The sequence below is a fragment of the Homo sapiens genome, chromosome 11, assembly GCF_000001405.40.
Source record: "Homo sapiens chromosome 11, GRCh38.p14 Primary Assembly".
Lineage (NCBI taxonomy): Eukaryota > Metazoa > Chordata > Mammalia > Primates > Hominidae > Homo > Homo sapiens.
In genome coordinates, this window is record NC_000011.10 from 73,251,822 (window position 1) to 73,268,491 (window position 16,670).

The 16,670-nt window shown below is 47.1% G+C and overlaps 1 protein-coding gene and 1 long non-coding RNA gene across 7 annotated transcripts in view, besides 1 other annotated feature; both read left to right on the forward strand.

Annotated features, from left to right (window-relative positions):
- The first annotated feature begins 1,523 nt into the window (after positions 1–1,523).
- Positions 1,524–7,168, forward strand: LOC105369382 (uncharacterized). The gene is made up of 3 exons (XR_950296.3): positions 1,524–1,638; positions 1,940–1,986; positions 6,180–7,168. It is a non-coding gene; the product is annotated as an uncharacterized LOC105369382 (long non-coding RNA).
- Positions 12,229–12,766: an enhancer, noted in NCBI's record as "H3K27ac-H3K4me1 hESC enhancer chr11:72975095-72975632 (GRCh37/hg19 assembly coordinates)". NCBI's record gives its function as "activates a minimal SCP1, AML or CMV promoter by ChIP-STARR-seq in primed H9 embryonic stem cells {active_cell/tissue: H9 hESC(primed)}" and the evidence as "EXISTENCE:reporter gene assay evidence [ECO:0000049][PMID:30033119]".
- P2RY6 (pyrimidinergic receptor P2Y6) overlaps positions 12,685–16,670 on the forward strand; it is a 34,120-nt gene continuing 30,134 nt past the window's right edge. For 5 of the 6 annotated variants that reach the window (NM_176796.3, NM_001277207.2, NM_001277205.2 and 2 more), the window contains exon 1: positions 12,685–12,828. The gene's annotated coding sequence lies outside the window, so the exon portion shown is untranslated. Of the gene's footprint in view, positions 12,829–13,408; positions 13,645–16,670 lie in introns of those variants that run through there. The other variant, NM_001277206.2, reaches the window with a different exon arrangement.

The following is a 16,670-nucleotide window of genomic DNA, read 5'->3' on the forward strand; positions in this document are numbered from 1 at the left end:
ATATTATATATTATTTATAGATATAATATATTATATATTATTTATAGATATAATATATTATATATTATTTATAGATATAATATATTATATATAAAATATATATTAAAAATAATTAGGCCGGGCACGGTGGCTCACGCCTGTAATCCCAGCACTTTGGGAGGCCGAGGCAGGGCGGATCACGAGGTCAGGAGATCGAGACCATCTTGGCTAACATGGTGAAACCCCGTCTCTACTAAAAATACAAAAAATTAGCCGGGCGCGGTGGCGGGCGCCTGTAATCCCAGCTACTCAGGAGGCTGAGGCCGGAGAATGGCGTGAACCCGGAAGGCGGAGCTTGCAGTGAGCCGAGATAGCGCCACTGCAGTCCGGCCTGGGCGAAAGAGCAAGACTCCGTCTCAAAAAAAAAAAAAAATTAAATATTTTGTATTTAAATATTTAAAATATTTAAATATATATTAAAATAATTAAATATATATGTAAATAATTAAATATATATTTAAAATATTTTAATATATATTTAAAATAATTAAATATATATTTAAAATAATTAAATATTAAAATAAATATTATATATTATGTATTTTATGTATTATATATTTTATATATAATTTTATATATATATAATTGTTTCTGTTTCTCTGGAGAGCCCTAATACAAGATCCCCACTTTTTTTTTTTGGTGTTTTTTCATTGCAAGATTTTGTTTCTAACTATATTTATTCTTTAGATGGAAGAATGTTCAGTCTCTCTTCAAATAGGGTCTTTTTATCACTTCCCTAATAGGTAATCCTGGTTCATTCCTTGCTTTCTCACCTCCTGAACATCTTGCAGACAGCTTTTACTGGGTTGTTGTTCATACAAGGGACCTAGACACTTTTCATTATAGTTTGGGACCCCTCCGTCTCCTGCTCTTTTCCAAATCCTAGGCATATACCACAAGTCCATAAGTTGCCTGGAGAAAAGCTGGGCGCCAAAGTCTGCTTACCTAAACCCAGAAGTGCCAAGTCCTTTGGAAGGGGTCTCTTTCTTTTCAGTTTTGTTTCTGCAAGAGGCAGCAGAATTTCGATGAAGTGTCTCCCTTCCAGCCTGTGACAGCTCCAGGTGGACCTAAACCACCTCAATCTCGTCCTTTTGTATTATTAACCTTACTGCCTTTGCTTTTGTTCTTCTGGCCTCTCTTGTCCCCTTCTGAGAGTGACAAAACCTAAGAGCATCTGCCTGCCACATCCTCAAGTGGTGACAGGTGGAAGTGTTTCCAACCAAACCAAGCTCCCTGGTGAGGAAGCACACTTGTGGCCCTCTCCACAAGACAGAAAGAAGTCAGGGCTTTTCCCTTTGAGATAAGTGTTACATTCCCTTATTCTAAAACATTGGGAAAAATAATAATAATGAACTGCAATGAACAATTCTGCTGTTTCTTTTTTAATTTAAATTTTTATTTTTAATTGACAAATAATAATTGTATATACTTATGGGGCACAATGTGATATATTTTTTATGTTGGTTTTTGTTTGTTTGAAACAGGGTCTCACTCTCCCACCCAGGCTGGAGTGCAGTGGCGTGAAGGCTCACTGCAGCCTTGACTTCCTGGGCTCAAGTTATGCTCCTGGCTCAGCCTCCCAAGTAGCTGGGACCACAGGTGCGTGCCATCATGCCTGGATACATACATACATACACATATATATATATATATATATATATATATATATATATATAGTAGGGATGGGGCCTTGCTATGTTGCCCAGGCAGGTCTTGAACCCCTGGGCTCAAGTGATACTCCCACCTTACCCTCACCACAAGATGCTGGGATTTCAGGCATGAACCACCATGTCTGGCTCAGTGTGGTGTTTTAATATATGTGTACACTGTGGAATGTCTGCTGTTCCTTACATGATAATTTTTAATGAAGTTCATCACTAATCTGTTACTATTTTTCCAGTCTGCGAATTGCCAGAAGCCCAGTCTGCGAATTGCCAGAAGCCCAAAGTGAGTATCATGTATGTCAGTACAATTAATCATTAGATAATGAAGAGAACACATGGCAGTGCCACCATTTTGGCACCATTAATGCCAAAAGCAGCATGGATGCGGGATGATTGGAGGAGAACTGGATATGTGCCTCTGTTAGGGTGGAACACAGTTGGTGATACAAGTTATGCACAACGTCATTTAAAATGGCTTCAAATATTCTGAAAAAAACAACATTTAGTTCTTACTGTGAATTTTGTCACGTATTGAAAACCACTGCACATAAAATTGGATGAACAATCCATCTGCATTTTAATTTTACAATGAGGTTAGCATAGAAAAATAAACTGAATATTGACAGTAATAAACTGTATTCCTAGAAAGGCTGTGTGGGCCTACTTAAAGGTTGTCTCACCAATAAAACCATAAGCATCTTTTAGGGCAAAGGTGGTTTCCTATACTTCCTTCAATTCTCCAATGCTTCTCCTCTTCTTAATTTATGAGGCAGGCATATAGGGAATTCAAGAACTATAGGGAGTTCAGTTGAATTAAAATATCTGGTTCTGCCGGGAGGTGGAGGTTGCAGTGAACCGAGATTGTGCCACTGCACTCCATCCTGGGTGACAGAGTGAGACTCCATCTCAACAACAACAACAACAACAACAATCTCGTTCTGTTATTTAAAGAAAACACTTCAACAGTTAGAAATTTTGATTGTTTGTGGCAGGCACTGTACTGAGAGTTTTACATACACTATTCCAGTTAAAACTCAAACCACTTGGGAGGACAGAATTATTATCCCCGTTGTACAGGTGACCAGAGCTCTGAGAATGAAAGGAACTTGGCTTGGCCACACAGCTATGAGTGGAAGAGCCAGAATTCAACTTAGGCCTGTCCCTGCCCAGGGTGTGCTTGAACCCCTGCATTAGCCCAGGGGTCTTCCTGGGTGGACTCTGTTCTGCGCTCTCCTTTGTTCCTGTGGTCGGGCTCCCAGATTCCATCCAGGACCAGCTCCTTTACTTACAGATGGGGGAGCCTTGGGCAAGACCACTGACCTCTCTGAGCCTCAGTTTCCCCCTCTGAAAAATTGAAATAATCAACTGTCCCTAATAAGGCTTAAGAAGGTTAATATCTTTTTTTCTTTTTTTTTTTTTTTTGAGACAGGGTCTCTGTCACCCAGGCTGGATTGTATTGGCACGATCTCAGCTCACTGCAGCCTTAATCTCCCAGGCTCAAGTGATCCTCCCACCTCAGCTTCCTGAGTAGCTGGGACTACAGGCATGTGCCACCATGCCCAGCTAATTTTTGTATTTTTTTTTTTTTGTAGAGATGGGTTTTTGCCATGTTGCCCAGGCTGAAGAAAGTTAATGTCTAAATTTATGCACAACTACTTAGAAAACAGTAAATCCCTATATCAATCTTTGTTGATAAAAACATTCCATTTTTCTCATCATTGGAACCTTGTCACGCCTCAACATTTGGGGCACCTTTACTAAATGTGACATCTTGATTTTTAAAAGTGATCTGTTTCTTTTTCATTTAATTTTCAACTAAATAATGTATTCACTTGGTTCAAACAAACAAACAAAAAAAGGTAAACAGTGAAGGATCTCCCTGTTATTGGCCCTAATAAGTAACCCAGTCAGTGGTTGCTTCTTTATGTTTCCAGGTAACTATATGTATATACAAATCCTAAAAGTAGTGTTTTTTTTCTTCCTTCATACACAAAAGTTTGCATACTACTACATACATATTTCTACACCTAGCTTTCTTCTGAAAATTCCTTTTTAAATTTATTTTTATTTTATTCTTTTTTTTTTTTTTTTTTTTTTTGAGATGGAGTCTCCCTCTGTCCCCCAGTCCGGAGTGCAGTGGCACTATCTCTCCCGGGTTCAAGCAATTTTTCTGCCTCAGCCTCCCCTGTAGCTGGGACTACAGGCGCGTGCCACCACACCCAGCTAATTTTTGTTTGTTTGTTTTTTGGTGTTTTTGTTGTTGTTTTTGTTTTGATTCAGAGTCTCGCTCTTGTCGCCCAGGCTGGAGTGCAGCGGTGCGATCTAGGCTCACCACAACCTCCACTTTCCGAGTTCAAGTGATTCTCCTGCCTCAGCCTCCTGAGTAGCTGGGACTACAGGCATGTGTCACCATGCCCAACTAATTTTTGTATAATTTTTAGTGGAGACAAGGTTTCACCATGTTGGCCAGGCTGGTCTTGAACTCCTGACCTTGTGATCCCCCTGCCTTGGCCTCCAAAGTGCTGGGATTACAGGTGTCAGCCATCACGCCTGGCTATTTTATTCTATTTTTTTAGAGACAGGGTCTCACTATGTTGCCCAGGCTGCTCTTGAACTCCCAGGCTCAAGCGATCCCCCTGCCTTGGCCTCTAAGTGCTGGAATTACAGGCATGAGCCACCATGCCTGGCCCTGAAGTTTTCTTAAAGGTCTTTCTACATAAAAACTCCCCTGTTCTGTTTTAACAACCATGATTTATTTAACCAGTTCCCTATGAATAGACAGGTCATTTCCAATATTTCAGTTTTGATTTGTTGATTTCTTAAAGAGCTGAAATAAATGAAAACACCAACTTTTTCTTCATTATGAACATAGTTTAGACTATTTACTAGACAATAATGTCTGCTTGAATCTCAGATTCAGTAAATCTGTTTTAAAATGGACAGGGATCTGTTGGTACCAAGTGAAAGAATTGCCCCACTCCCAAGGGTTGACTCACATTAACTTGGCTTTTTTAAATTTTATTTTATTTTATTCTATTTTGAAATGGAGTTTCGCTCTTGCTGCCCAGACTAGAGTGCAATGGCGCAGTCTCAGCTCACTGCAGCCTCCACCTTCTGGTTTCAAGCGATTCTCCAGCCTCAGCCTCCCCAGTAGCTGGGATTACAGGCACCAGCCACCACGCCTGGCTAATTTTTTGTGTGTGTTTTCAGTAGAGACGGGGTTTTGCCATGTTGGCCAAGCTGTTCTTGAACTCCTGGCCTCAGGTGATCCGCCTGCCTCGGCCTCCCAAAGTGCTGGGATTACAGGCGTGAGCCACCGCGCCCGGCCTAACTTGGCTTTTTGTTCCATGTGTTGGTTTCATCACCCTCTCAGTGTCCCTACAGTCCCAAGGGCAGCAGGCAGTGTTGCAGAGGTCACAGGGCTCCACAGGTAGTGTGAGCAGCAGATCTCTGTGGACTATCACCTCCTCTGACATAGGCACTATGCTCCTTTATATACTGCCAGAAAGTATGTTAACATTTATAGCCAGGCATGATGGCTCACGCCTGTAATCCCAGCACCTTGGGAAGCCGAAGCAGGTGGATCACAAGGTCAGGAGTTCAAGACCAGCCTGGCCAACATGGTGAAACCCTGTCTCTACTAAAAATACAAAAAATTAGCCGGGTGTGGTGGAACACTCCTGTAATCCCAGCTACTCAGGAGGCTGAGGCAGGAGAATTGCTTGAACCCAGGAGAAGGAGGTTGCAGTGAGCCAAGATCATGCCATTGCACTCCAGCCTGGGCAACAGAGAAAGACTCCGTTTTGAAAATAAATAAGTAAACAAACAAACATTTGTACCAGGAGCAGCGCTGGTGGGCATGGGTCTGGTAGGAGGGAGCTAAATGGAGTGTCCCATCAGTGTGCTTAGAGGCAAGAGAGGAATCCAGAGCCCTGACTAAGAGCTGCCAGGGCAGGATTCCTGGCTCATGAATTTGTGAATCAACACTTGGTTGGGCAGCTGGAATGTGGTGGGAATGAGAAAGAGGCAAGTTCCAGGAAGAGGTTCTCCTGTTCAGAACAAGGGCTAGCTGTGGCTGGTGGACTGACAGGGCAAAGGGGAGCCATGTGGGGGCTCCTGGACCTCAGGAAGGAGGCTGGGGTCTTAGGACTATGGCTGGGGCTAAAAGAGCAGCCCCGGCCCTGAGAGGAGGCCACAGGGACACCAAGGCCAGGGGCTGACAGGGGGAGGGGATATCTCAAAAGTTGTTGGAAATGCCAGATATGGCTCATCCAGTGCCGGATCTTGCTGGGCACCTGCCAGCTGCTAAGGATTGTGAGGCCATGGCTGAAGCTGGGAGGGAGCGGAACAGGAGGAAGCAAATTAGCTGCCGGACACAGTTTAACCAAGGGCTCCTTGACCTCTCCTGGGGCCAGTGGGGGTGGGGCCTGGCTCCCAGGCCCAGCTCTGAGCCTGTGGCCTCCCTCCTTCTTCCAGGCCCATCTTCCCTTGGCCTGAGTGACACGGCACTGACCTGCTCCTGCTCTTACTGCTCTGGCTGCCCCCTACAGTTCCACTCCTGGGCATCTCTTCCCTCCTTTAACTGATGGCTCCATCTTAAAGAGAGTAGAAGTGACTTCACCCACCCTATGGCCTAGAGGCCCAAACATGAAGCTCCTGGGCAACAGGATTTGGTTTTATTAAAGAGCTGCCAAGTTCCTTTGCCTTGATGTGAGTATGGGGATCAGGCGGCCTGGCTAAGCTGGTCAGAGGGAGCATTTCCAGAGGTCAGAGCACAGTCTCCATGGAAACCAGGGCTCTGCATACCCAGGAGGACCCAGGGACAGCAGGAGGACCAGTGAGAAAGGTGGAGTGCTGAGGAGAGAACACTGGGGTGCAGGCAGGGCCATCAGGTTGAAACCCACCCCCACTTCCCCAACTCCTACACAGAGTCCCTCCTCCACCCAGCTGGGAGAACCAGAGCTCAGCCTACAGGGAACAGACAGGGCTCCTTTCATCCTGCAGCAGATGCTGTGCCTCCTACGCCCCTCCTGGGCCTCAGGAAGGGGGCTGGGGGTTCTAGGGCTATGGCTGGGGCTGAAAGAGCAGCCCCGGCCCTGAGAGGACCCACAGGGACACCAAGGCTGGGGGCTGCCTGTGCCACTTAGCACTCTCATCCCCACACCTCTGCAGCTTCTCACTGTGGGACCCTGGGTTTCTGCCCTGGGGTTTCTCTGGCCTTTGGAGCACACTTGGCCAGAAGTGCCAGAAAGTTTGAGGATCAGCCTTTAACCGATGACAGCTGGAGTTGGTGACCAACTGCTCCAGTTTCCTTGCCTTTTGGGTGGGACCTCCCTGTGGCAGGTTCTGCGCAGTCTCCCACGGGTTCCCCACAGGACTGACCCACAGTGATGACCTGCTCGGCAGCCACCATGGCTTTCTTCTTTTCCCTGGATCACCTCTGAAATAAATGATTTGTACTTAAATGTTTGCCTCAGGATCAGCTTCTGGAGGAACCCAAACTGAGAATCCCCTCTCTCTCCCTCACATTCGCATCCAATCTGCCTGATTCTGCTGATTCTACCTCCTTAAAAAGCCCTCAAGGCCAGGTGTGGTGGCTCATGCCTGTAATGCTACCACTCTGGGAAGCCGAGGTGGGAGGATCACTTGAGCCCAGGAGTTCAAGACCAGCCTGGGCAACACGGCAAAAGCCTATCTCTACCAAAAAAATTAAAAAAATAAAAAAATAAAAATTAGCCAGGCATGGTGGCATGCATCTGTAGTCCCAGCTACTTCTCGGGAGGCTGAGGTGGGAGGATCACCAGAGCCCGGGAGGCAGAGGTTGCAGTGAGCAGAGATTGTGACACTGCACTCCAGCCTGGGCAACAGAACCAGACCCCCATCTCAAAAGAAAAGTTCTCAAATCCACCTTCTAATCATCTCCCATATATCACTCCTCCTCCATCCCCACTGCCCTGGCCACCTGCCTGGACTACTGGCCCAGCCTCCTCACCGACCCACTGCCTCTGCACATCAGCCAGCATAAGTCAGCTTTCTAAAACACACCTCTGGGCCTCTCCCCAGGTCCCACCCTGCTTAAATCCTACCATGGTTCCCATTGCCCTCAGGATAAACCAAGCTTCCCAGCCTGGCATCGAGACCCTGAAAGGACTGGTCCCTGCCCTCTCTACAGCTCTCTTATGCCACTCCCCTCTTCCACTGGACTGCCCAGTAGGACTGAACTTCTTGAGGTTCTCAGAGTTGGCCATGATCAACCCCACCTCCTGGTCTTCACAAGCTGTCCCCTCTTGTAAACAGGAACATCTTCCTCCTACTTTACCCAAACAATTCTAGTTGTTCTTGAACACAGCCTAAGACACAACTTGTGCCTTAACCACCCCTGTTCTCCCTGCTCTAGGGCTGGGTGGGCTGGGGGTCCCTCAGAGCTCCTATGTATCTTCATGTCTCTCTGGCCCAATGCCCACCAGGTTCTGGTCTGTTCTCCTCCACACTGGGCATTTCTGAAGGACACTAGCCATGAACAACTCATCTTTTTTCTTCCCCGGGCCTAGGCACATAGCAGGTGTCAGAGAATAAATGAGTGATGATGATGACTTTAAATCTCCAAAGAATTATGCCCTGGAAAAACTCCTTGGCTGGTGGAGGAGAAGTGTGAAGAAAAACAACACCAGGCCAGAGTGATCAGGGTGTTACAAAGGCCAACACTTGGACTTGGGAGCCCAGAGGAGGCCTCAGCCCTGACTGGCAGAGAGGTAGCCAGAGAAGGCTTTGGAGGGGAGGTGGCTCCTCTGTGTGCTGGCCCTGCCCATCCTCTTTGTCTTTGCAGAGTGTGCTAGGGAGCTGGGGAGTCAGGAGGGAAATAGAAAGCAGCATAGATCCCACACAATCTCACCCCTTCCTTTTCCTCAAAGGTGACCTCTACCCTGGTGGTCATTCTTACACATGCCTTTGTATGATTTCTACATTATTGTATAGAAATATACAATAATTAAAACTTTATGTGCATAGTCTCATACTGTGTGTATCCTATATATTTCTTTTTTGGTCACATTATGCTTGTGTGATTTTAGCCTTCTTGATGTGGTTGCTCAAGTTTATTTTTTGTCTGCTATATAGTATTCCATTTAAGAACATACAGTCACTTTTACTGTTAGAATATAATTCATTCCTATAATCCCAGCACTTTGGGAGGCCAAGGCAGGTGGATCACGAGGTCAAGAGATCAAGACCATCCTGGCCAACATGGTGAAACCCCATCTCTACTAAAAATACAAAAATTAGCTGGGCACGGTGGCGCGTGCCTGCAGTTCCAGCTACTTGGGAGGCTGAGGCAGGAGAATCGCTTGAATCCAGGAGGCAGAGGTTGCAGTGAGCCGAGATTGTGCCACTGCACTCCAGCCTGGTGACAGAGCGAGACTCTGACAAAAAAAAAAAAAAAGAATATAATTTATTTCTGATAACAAATTTGTGAATAGTGAAAGCTTATATTCCCAGAAATTTAAAAAGGAAAAATGTGTCACCAGCTCATCCTAAGACCCTAATTTTCCCCAAATGCCATTAAAATTTTTAAAACTATTAACACTCAGCAATGATTTCTGCACAGTATAAAACTACACTATCAAATATGATATCTGTTAGTCACATAAGGCTATTTACATTTAAACGTAAATTAATTTGGAGTTAAAAATTCCATTCCTCCGTTGCCCTAGACACATTTCTACATGTGGCCAGAGGCTACCCTACTGGACAGCAGATATAGGATATTTCCATCATCACCAAAAGTTCTAAAGCATTTAAAATACTGACTACTTCATTATCTAATAATGAATGTGCTGCATTTTCTCACTCACAGAAGCGCTCCCACATATGGTGGGTGAGGATGAGTCTCACATCTCTCACATAAGCCAAGCTTACATCTTTCACTGTCCAGCCCTCCCAATGAGCTTTGTTACATCCACATTTTCTTCTAATAATAAATAGGCTTTTCTAGGTCTTTCAGGCTCAACTACTTTCTTCTCAGGCCTTTCCACTTTCTTAGAAGACAACTATACTTAATAATGAAGGGAAGAGGCTGGCATGGTGGCTAACGCCTGTAATCTCAGCACTTTAGGAGGCTGAAGCGGGTGGATCGCCTGAGGTCAGGAGTTTGAGACTAGCCTGGCCAACATGGTGAAACCCCGTCTCTACTAAAAATACAAAAATTAGCCGACGTGGTGGTGGGCACCTGTAATCCCAGCTACTTGGGAGGCTGAGGCAGGAGAATCACTTCAACCCAGGAGGCGGAGGTTGCAGTGAGCCGAGATCATGCCACTGCACTCCAGCCTGGGCAACAGAGACAGACTCCATCTCAAAAAATAAATAAATAAATAAATAAATAAAAATAAAAAGATACAGTGCTGTGATGTACATCTTTATACATGTGCAGGGGTTTCTCCTGATTATATGCCTTGAAGTGGAATGGTTCAGTTTTAAGCTATGCATTTTCACTTTTCCTAGATATTGACAGATTGTTCTTCAACTTGGTTGTGTTCCCAGCAGTATGTAAAAATTCCTGCCAATTCAAACAAAGTGCGTTTGGTTTCAACCAAATAATTGGTTTCAACGTTTGCTGAATAACCAATTATTGGTTGAAGCCAAGCCAATTTTGTTTTAATTGAGTAGAATCAGCAGAATCAGGAGCACTTCTGTATGTGAGAAAACGCAGCACATTCAGTGTTAGATAATGAAGTAGTCAGTGTTTTAAATGCTTTAGAACTTCCTGTGATGACGGAAATATCCTATATCTGCTGTCCAGTAGGGTACCCTCTGGCCACATGTAGAAGTGTGTCTAGGGCAATGGAGGAATGGAATTGGTTTCAACCAAACCAATTATCAAACTTTAAAAAGTTTGATAATCAGATATGCATGAAATGGTATCATTTCATTTGGTTTTAATTTAGATTTCCCTGGTTGATAGTCAGGTTGAACATATTTTCTTATGTGTATTGGCCATAATTGCTTTCTTTTCTGTGAAATGCCTGTTCATGTCTTTCAATCATTTTTCTGTTAGGTTGTTTAGCTTTTTCCTATTGACGTATAGGAGTTATTTTTATATACTGGATAATAATCCTTTGTTACATGCATTGCAATAATCTCCAGTCGGTAGTCTGTCTTCTTGCTTTTTTCCTTTTTTAGTGTTTTTGTACAAACATAACTTTTTATTACTCTGAGCTTATTAATATTTTCCTTTACAATTTTCTTTGTTTTTGCTGTTGTTGTTTAAAAAATTGTTCCTTAATCCTGGCAGATAGTGGAAATCCAACATTTGCTGAATAAAAGGAGAATAAGGAGAATGAGTGCCTTCCCCAGGGAGAACGTGCAGAGTGAGCAAGAAAAGGGTGGGGCAGAACCCTGGGGAGGACAGAGACAGAGCTACCTAGGGAAGAGTGTGAAGTGGAGGAAGAACAAGGAAGGGAGCTGTACAGCCCACATGGGGAATTTTGAAAGTGTCCGGTGGAGTGACTAAGATGTGTGCATTGCTTCAGAGACATGGAGGTCACTGGATACTTGGCAGGGCCGTCTTGTAGTTGCTACAGGAGCTGAGACCGGATAGGTGGGCAGGGCACTGCAGAGAAGAGTCCAAGAATTGTCACCTCTCTCAAGAACATTGACAGTGAAGGGAAGACCTGTCCTGTCTTGGGGCCTCAGTGTACTTTCTGCCTAGGATTCTCTTCCCCTTACCTTCACCTGGCTAAGTCTAACTCCTTCTCCTGGTTCAGCTTAAATGTCTCTTCCTCTGGGAAGCCTTCCCAGATCTCTCAGTTTAAATTAGATGGCCTCTTTCCCCATGACAGTCTTTCATCCAGTTCTTGACTTTTCCTTCTTAGCAGTTAACACAATATGCAACTATGTATGAAATTTGTGTGACTATTTGTTTGATGTCCGTGTTTCCCACTAGATTACCAACTCCACAAGGCCTGCACTGTCTGGAATGTTGTTCCAGTGCACCCTCAGTGCCTAGCACACAACCTGGCACAGTAATTGTTGAATAAAAAGCCACAATGGGGGCTGAGAGGAGGAGCTGGTTTGTATCTGGGGACAGCAGATCCAGGAGGTTTCAGAGATGAGGGAGTCAGAGGTCCCTGTCCACCAGCCAGATTTTAGGCGATAAAAGGGAAAAAGGGAAGGAGAGTGACAGTTAGGAGGAACACTGACATTGATGAGACACCAACTGTGTACCAGGCACTGTCCTGACACCATCCTGAGCATCACTCCCATCCCCACTCCCATCTTTAGTGTGATGTCCCACTAGCTGAGTGACCCAGAGCAAGCTAATCTCCCTGAGCCTCAGTTTCCTCATCTGTAAAATGGACTGGTAACACCAAGCTCCTGGGATTGTTATGAAGAGGAGGAAGCAGGGTATGGTGTGGAAAGTGTTACAAACCCACGCTTCAGGGGTACTTGGATTCTGGAGTCAGACCACCTGGCTTCAAATCTCAGGTCTGCCACTTACCAGCTGTGTGACCTTGAACAAGTCACTTCATTTCTGTGCCTCAGTTTCCCTGCCTGTAAAATATGAGTAATAATACCTCCAGAATTGCTATGAGGATTAAATGAGGTATGCATTAGAACACCTTAGCACAGTGCTTGGCACATAGTAGGTGCTCAAGGAAATAATAATTAAAATTATTCCTCCCTCCTCCCCACTATCCCAGAACTGCAGAATGTCAGAGCTGGAAAGATGGGAGAAATCACCATTTGATACCCAGCCCCCCCCCACACACATATCAATACAAAGAGGGAAACTGAGGCCAGGGAAAGGTAAAGTCGTGAAGGATTCTGGACTGGAGTCCACCGGTCCCAGGTCCCAGACCAGGAGCGGTCCCCAGAGGCCTGCAGCCTCTTCCAGACATCACCTCCCCGTCATCCCACGAGGGCGGGCCGCTGGGCGGGACTCCAGCGGTGCGGAGGCCGCTTGGCCACAGCCCCTCCCTGCCGCTTTGCTCTGGCTCCTCTGGGTTCCAGGGACGCTGGGGCCGGAGCTGCTGCCGCCGTCTACACGGTCCCCTCATTTGACGGGTTCGCCTCCTAGCAGCGCCTGGGCGAGTGACATCTGGGCCGGACCAGCTGGTGCTGCGCGGCGCAGGTAAGGGCGTGCGCGGGCAGGGACAGGGGTAAGGGGTGCCGGGGCGCGGGGATACAGGGAGGCCTGCCCACTCCAGGGTCGCGGCCAGTCAGGGCGGGTGCCGGGGGTGAGTCCCTGCATATGTGTGTAGTGTGGGCAATGTGTAAATGATTACTGTGAGCGCGATCTGCACTCCAGCCTGGGCGACAGAGCAAGACTCCGTCTAAAAAAAAAAAGAAATTACTGTGAGCAATGGGTTAATGGGTTGTATGCGGTTAGTGTGCGGTATGTGCAAGGTGTGACCCATGGATCACAGTGTGTGTCTGCCTGCAAGAAGTGTGCATTGCAACTCTCTATAGCTCTGAGTGACTGTGCTGGGGTAACACAGGGGTCCACGGTGCATGTACACTCTGTGGCGGGAGCCATGGCAGGGTGGTGCACTGGGTGTGCGTTGTGTGAATTGTGAGGTGTGTGTTTTGTGTGGCACATCCGTGGCCCCTGTGGTGTGCTGAGCTGGGTGATGGAAGGTGGGGCACATTTGTGCAGGGGTGACACTGACAGAATGTTTTCCGTGGTGGCTCTGCCTTTTCCACCCAGTGCCCGGGAGGGCTTGGGAGAGTGAAAGCTCACCCGGATCTGGGTGGAGAAAGTATGACAGGTCCCAGGCTCACCCTCTCACACATACAAACACATGCACATACAAGAGAAGCTGCTCCGAAATCTCATTTTTTTATCTTCCAAAATTCCTGTGGATTTTGCATTCTTCTATAATATTTCTGCATATAAAAACACTGTTCTGATAAATTACCATCCAATGAGTTGGCTCAAGTCTTGGAGGTAAGCTGGGTTTATCTTGTGGTGGGAATCCCCTGCCTGTCTCCCAAACTGAGATGTAAGAACTTGGACTCAGCAGGAGTGAGGCGGTGATGTTGGGTATGTGGTGTGTGCTGCAGGGCGGGGTGGGGGGGAGTTGTTTGGGTCACTCCTGGGGCAGGGGCAGGAGAGCTGGGCTTCTGAGGAGGAACCCTGACCATCAGTGAATTTCTTGCCTCTTCTCCACTGCCTGGGCAGGAAGGGGCTGCAGGACCCTGGGGACCACGAAGAAGGGGGTTCCCCTAGCAGGCTGCCTCCTGAGACAGTTAGGTGTTTGTGTCATCCAAGCTTGGTTCAAATTTGATTTAAGCAAACGCAGAAATATTAGAGAGGCTTCAAAAGGGCTCTGGCACTTTATCTGCAGAACTTTGGGCAAAACCTCACTGTGTCTCAGTTTCTTCCTTTGTAAAATGTAGATGTGGATAGTATTTGCCTCATAGGTTATTTTTAGGACTGACTGAGTGCCTGGATATTAAGTGGCTGGCACAATCTCTGATACATAGAAATCCTAACAGCTGGTGACAAAACTATGATGATAGTAATGGTGACCCCCACACAACTGGGTCCCTGCCCACCCCAGGAACTCTCAGTTTTCACAGAGCCAGTGATTCCAATAAGCTGTGTGGGTAGGAATCAGAGAGTCCCTATTTGAGTATCTCTGAGGGATCCTTTCCCATTCCCAGACTGAATCCTTGTTGAATTCTCAGTGACCACCTGCTTCCTGGGAAGATGCAGTCTGGGAGAGGACAATGCAGGTCTCTGTCAAAGCCTGGGATGGAGCGTGGGAGAGAGGTTGGGGGAGAAATGCAGGGGCAGCCATGGGCTTGGATGGAGGCTTCTCAGTCCTGACAAACCCTGGAGGAACCGAAAAATGCTGGCCCTGTGTATGTGTGTGTTTGGGAACTGGCAGGGGCAGGAGCCTGGGTTGCCCTCTGCCTGGAATGAGGAAAGTCCAGTACAGGATCAGGAATATTAGTCCCTGGACCAAGACAGGCCCTGAGAGCTGAAAGGGAGGCTGTGAGGTCAGCATTGAGCTGCAAGCAGAAGTGGACCAGGAGGCTCCCCGCAGGCTGAGCCTTGTTTCTGGGGCTAAAACTTCTGCATTGGCAGAGCAAGTGCCCCTGTTCCTGTTGACTTCATTGAGTCAGTTTAGAGGAGTTGCCCGGAGGCCTTGGAGGACAAGGGGACATAAAAGGCAGTGTTGGGAGCTGTGGAAACATCTGGGGAGGGAACCTAAATATATCTCATGGTGACGGGGTGCCATGATGGGCCAGTGCAACCTCGGGCACCACAGAGGCAAGCCACTGTCCCCACTGTCCCTAACAGGGAGTACTGCTGCCCCAGAGGCCCTGAGAGCTTCTCTGGAAGGTCTGGACAGAGCCCTCCTGGGGAGAAGGAGGCCTGGCCCAGCCCTGACTTTCTGAGTGATAAGGCCAGCTGTCTTCTTAGCTGTCAGGGAGGTGGGACCAAGTGATGCTGTCGTCACTTCTGGCCCTGATTTCCTTTAATCCCCAATTCTGGCTATAATTGTTTATAATTCCACACCCCTAGCCCTAAGAGTCTATAATTACTCAAACATTCTAGAAGTCTACAATTCGAACTCCAACTTTCTACACTCCAAAGCTGTAACATTCCCCAATTCTGGCTCCAATGTTGGAGGATTCTGGCCCTGGCTTTGGCAGTCTGACTCTTGTAAACTTATAAACTCCCAAGGAAGAGGTTACTTCAGCAGAATCATGTGAGAAGCCCCAGAAAAGGTCTCCTCCCTGCCTAAGCCAGCCTGGAGTAGAGGCAGGTGCCTGGTAAAATGGCCATATGCTCTCTGGGGTGGATGACAGTGAACCCAGAGGCCCCTCCTCATCAGAGCAGCAGAGTTGCTGGGAGTACCTCACAGCTCTCAGGGGACGGTGGCCCTAGAGCAGAGAAAGGTTCAGATCTTGGATTGTAGGCACCCCTCAGGATGAGGGAATTGTGGAGTCACTGGGCACCTTGCAAGGCCATCAAAAGGAAGGAGAGAGAGAACAAGAAATGGGGCTGAAGAGACCTCAAAGGCAAACCTCATTCTCTCTGAGAGACCTCAGGTTGTAGAAAAGACTCCTGTGGAGCCAGCAGGAGCAGCATCGTTGATGCACAGCCATGTCTGAACTCAGCATAGGCTGGGGGGTGGAGAGCTCCAAAATTCACAGTGATTAGCTTAAAACCTTGCCTTGAGCTGGCGACAAGCAGGACTGGTAGCTGACTGAGCAAGCTGGGGACAATCCTCCCATAGAAACCTTTGCCTACTTTCTGTGAGTATTCTGACCAGGACTTATGTGGGATGGCTGAAGAGGGTGAGCCAGACAAACCATCTGTGTTCTTGGGGAAACCTGTTAGCTTCTCTGGGAGGGGCAAAGGAAGGGCTTGGGCATCCAAGGACTCAGCTCTTCCTCTCCCATCTCTTTCCTGGTTATGAAAGCTCTTCACATGCAACTTGCTGCTGAGCTAAGCTAGAACACTATGTAAGCTGGCTGGAAGTGGGTCCATGCATGTGATGGTGCCTGCGTGCCTGCCGTGGGTGGTGTGTTCCCAAGTGTGGCAGGTGCCAGGGCACGTGTGCATATGTATGTGTGAACCTGTGTGAGTTATGTGGAGCTGTTTCCGGGGCTGGGTGTGCTGTGCATGCACCAGTGCAGAATTGCACCCACAGGCATGTGCTCCTTACAACTCTGTTAGGTCTCTGTGGCCTCTCTGTGGTTTCCTATGATGGAAGGCAAACAGCAGACCCCAGACTCTGGACAGTATGAGGGGCTCAGGCTGCAGAGAGGGAAAACCTCTGTGGCTCAGCAAGAAGGCCTAGCCCTGGCCAGACATGGTGGCTCACGTTTGTGATCCCAAAACTTTGGGAGGCTGAGGGAGGAGGATCGATTGAGACCAGGAGTTCGATACCAGCCTGTGCAAACTAGAAAGGCCCTGTCTCTACAAAAAAAAATACAAATTTAGCCAGGCGTAGT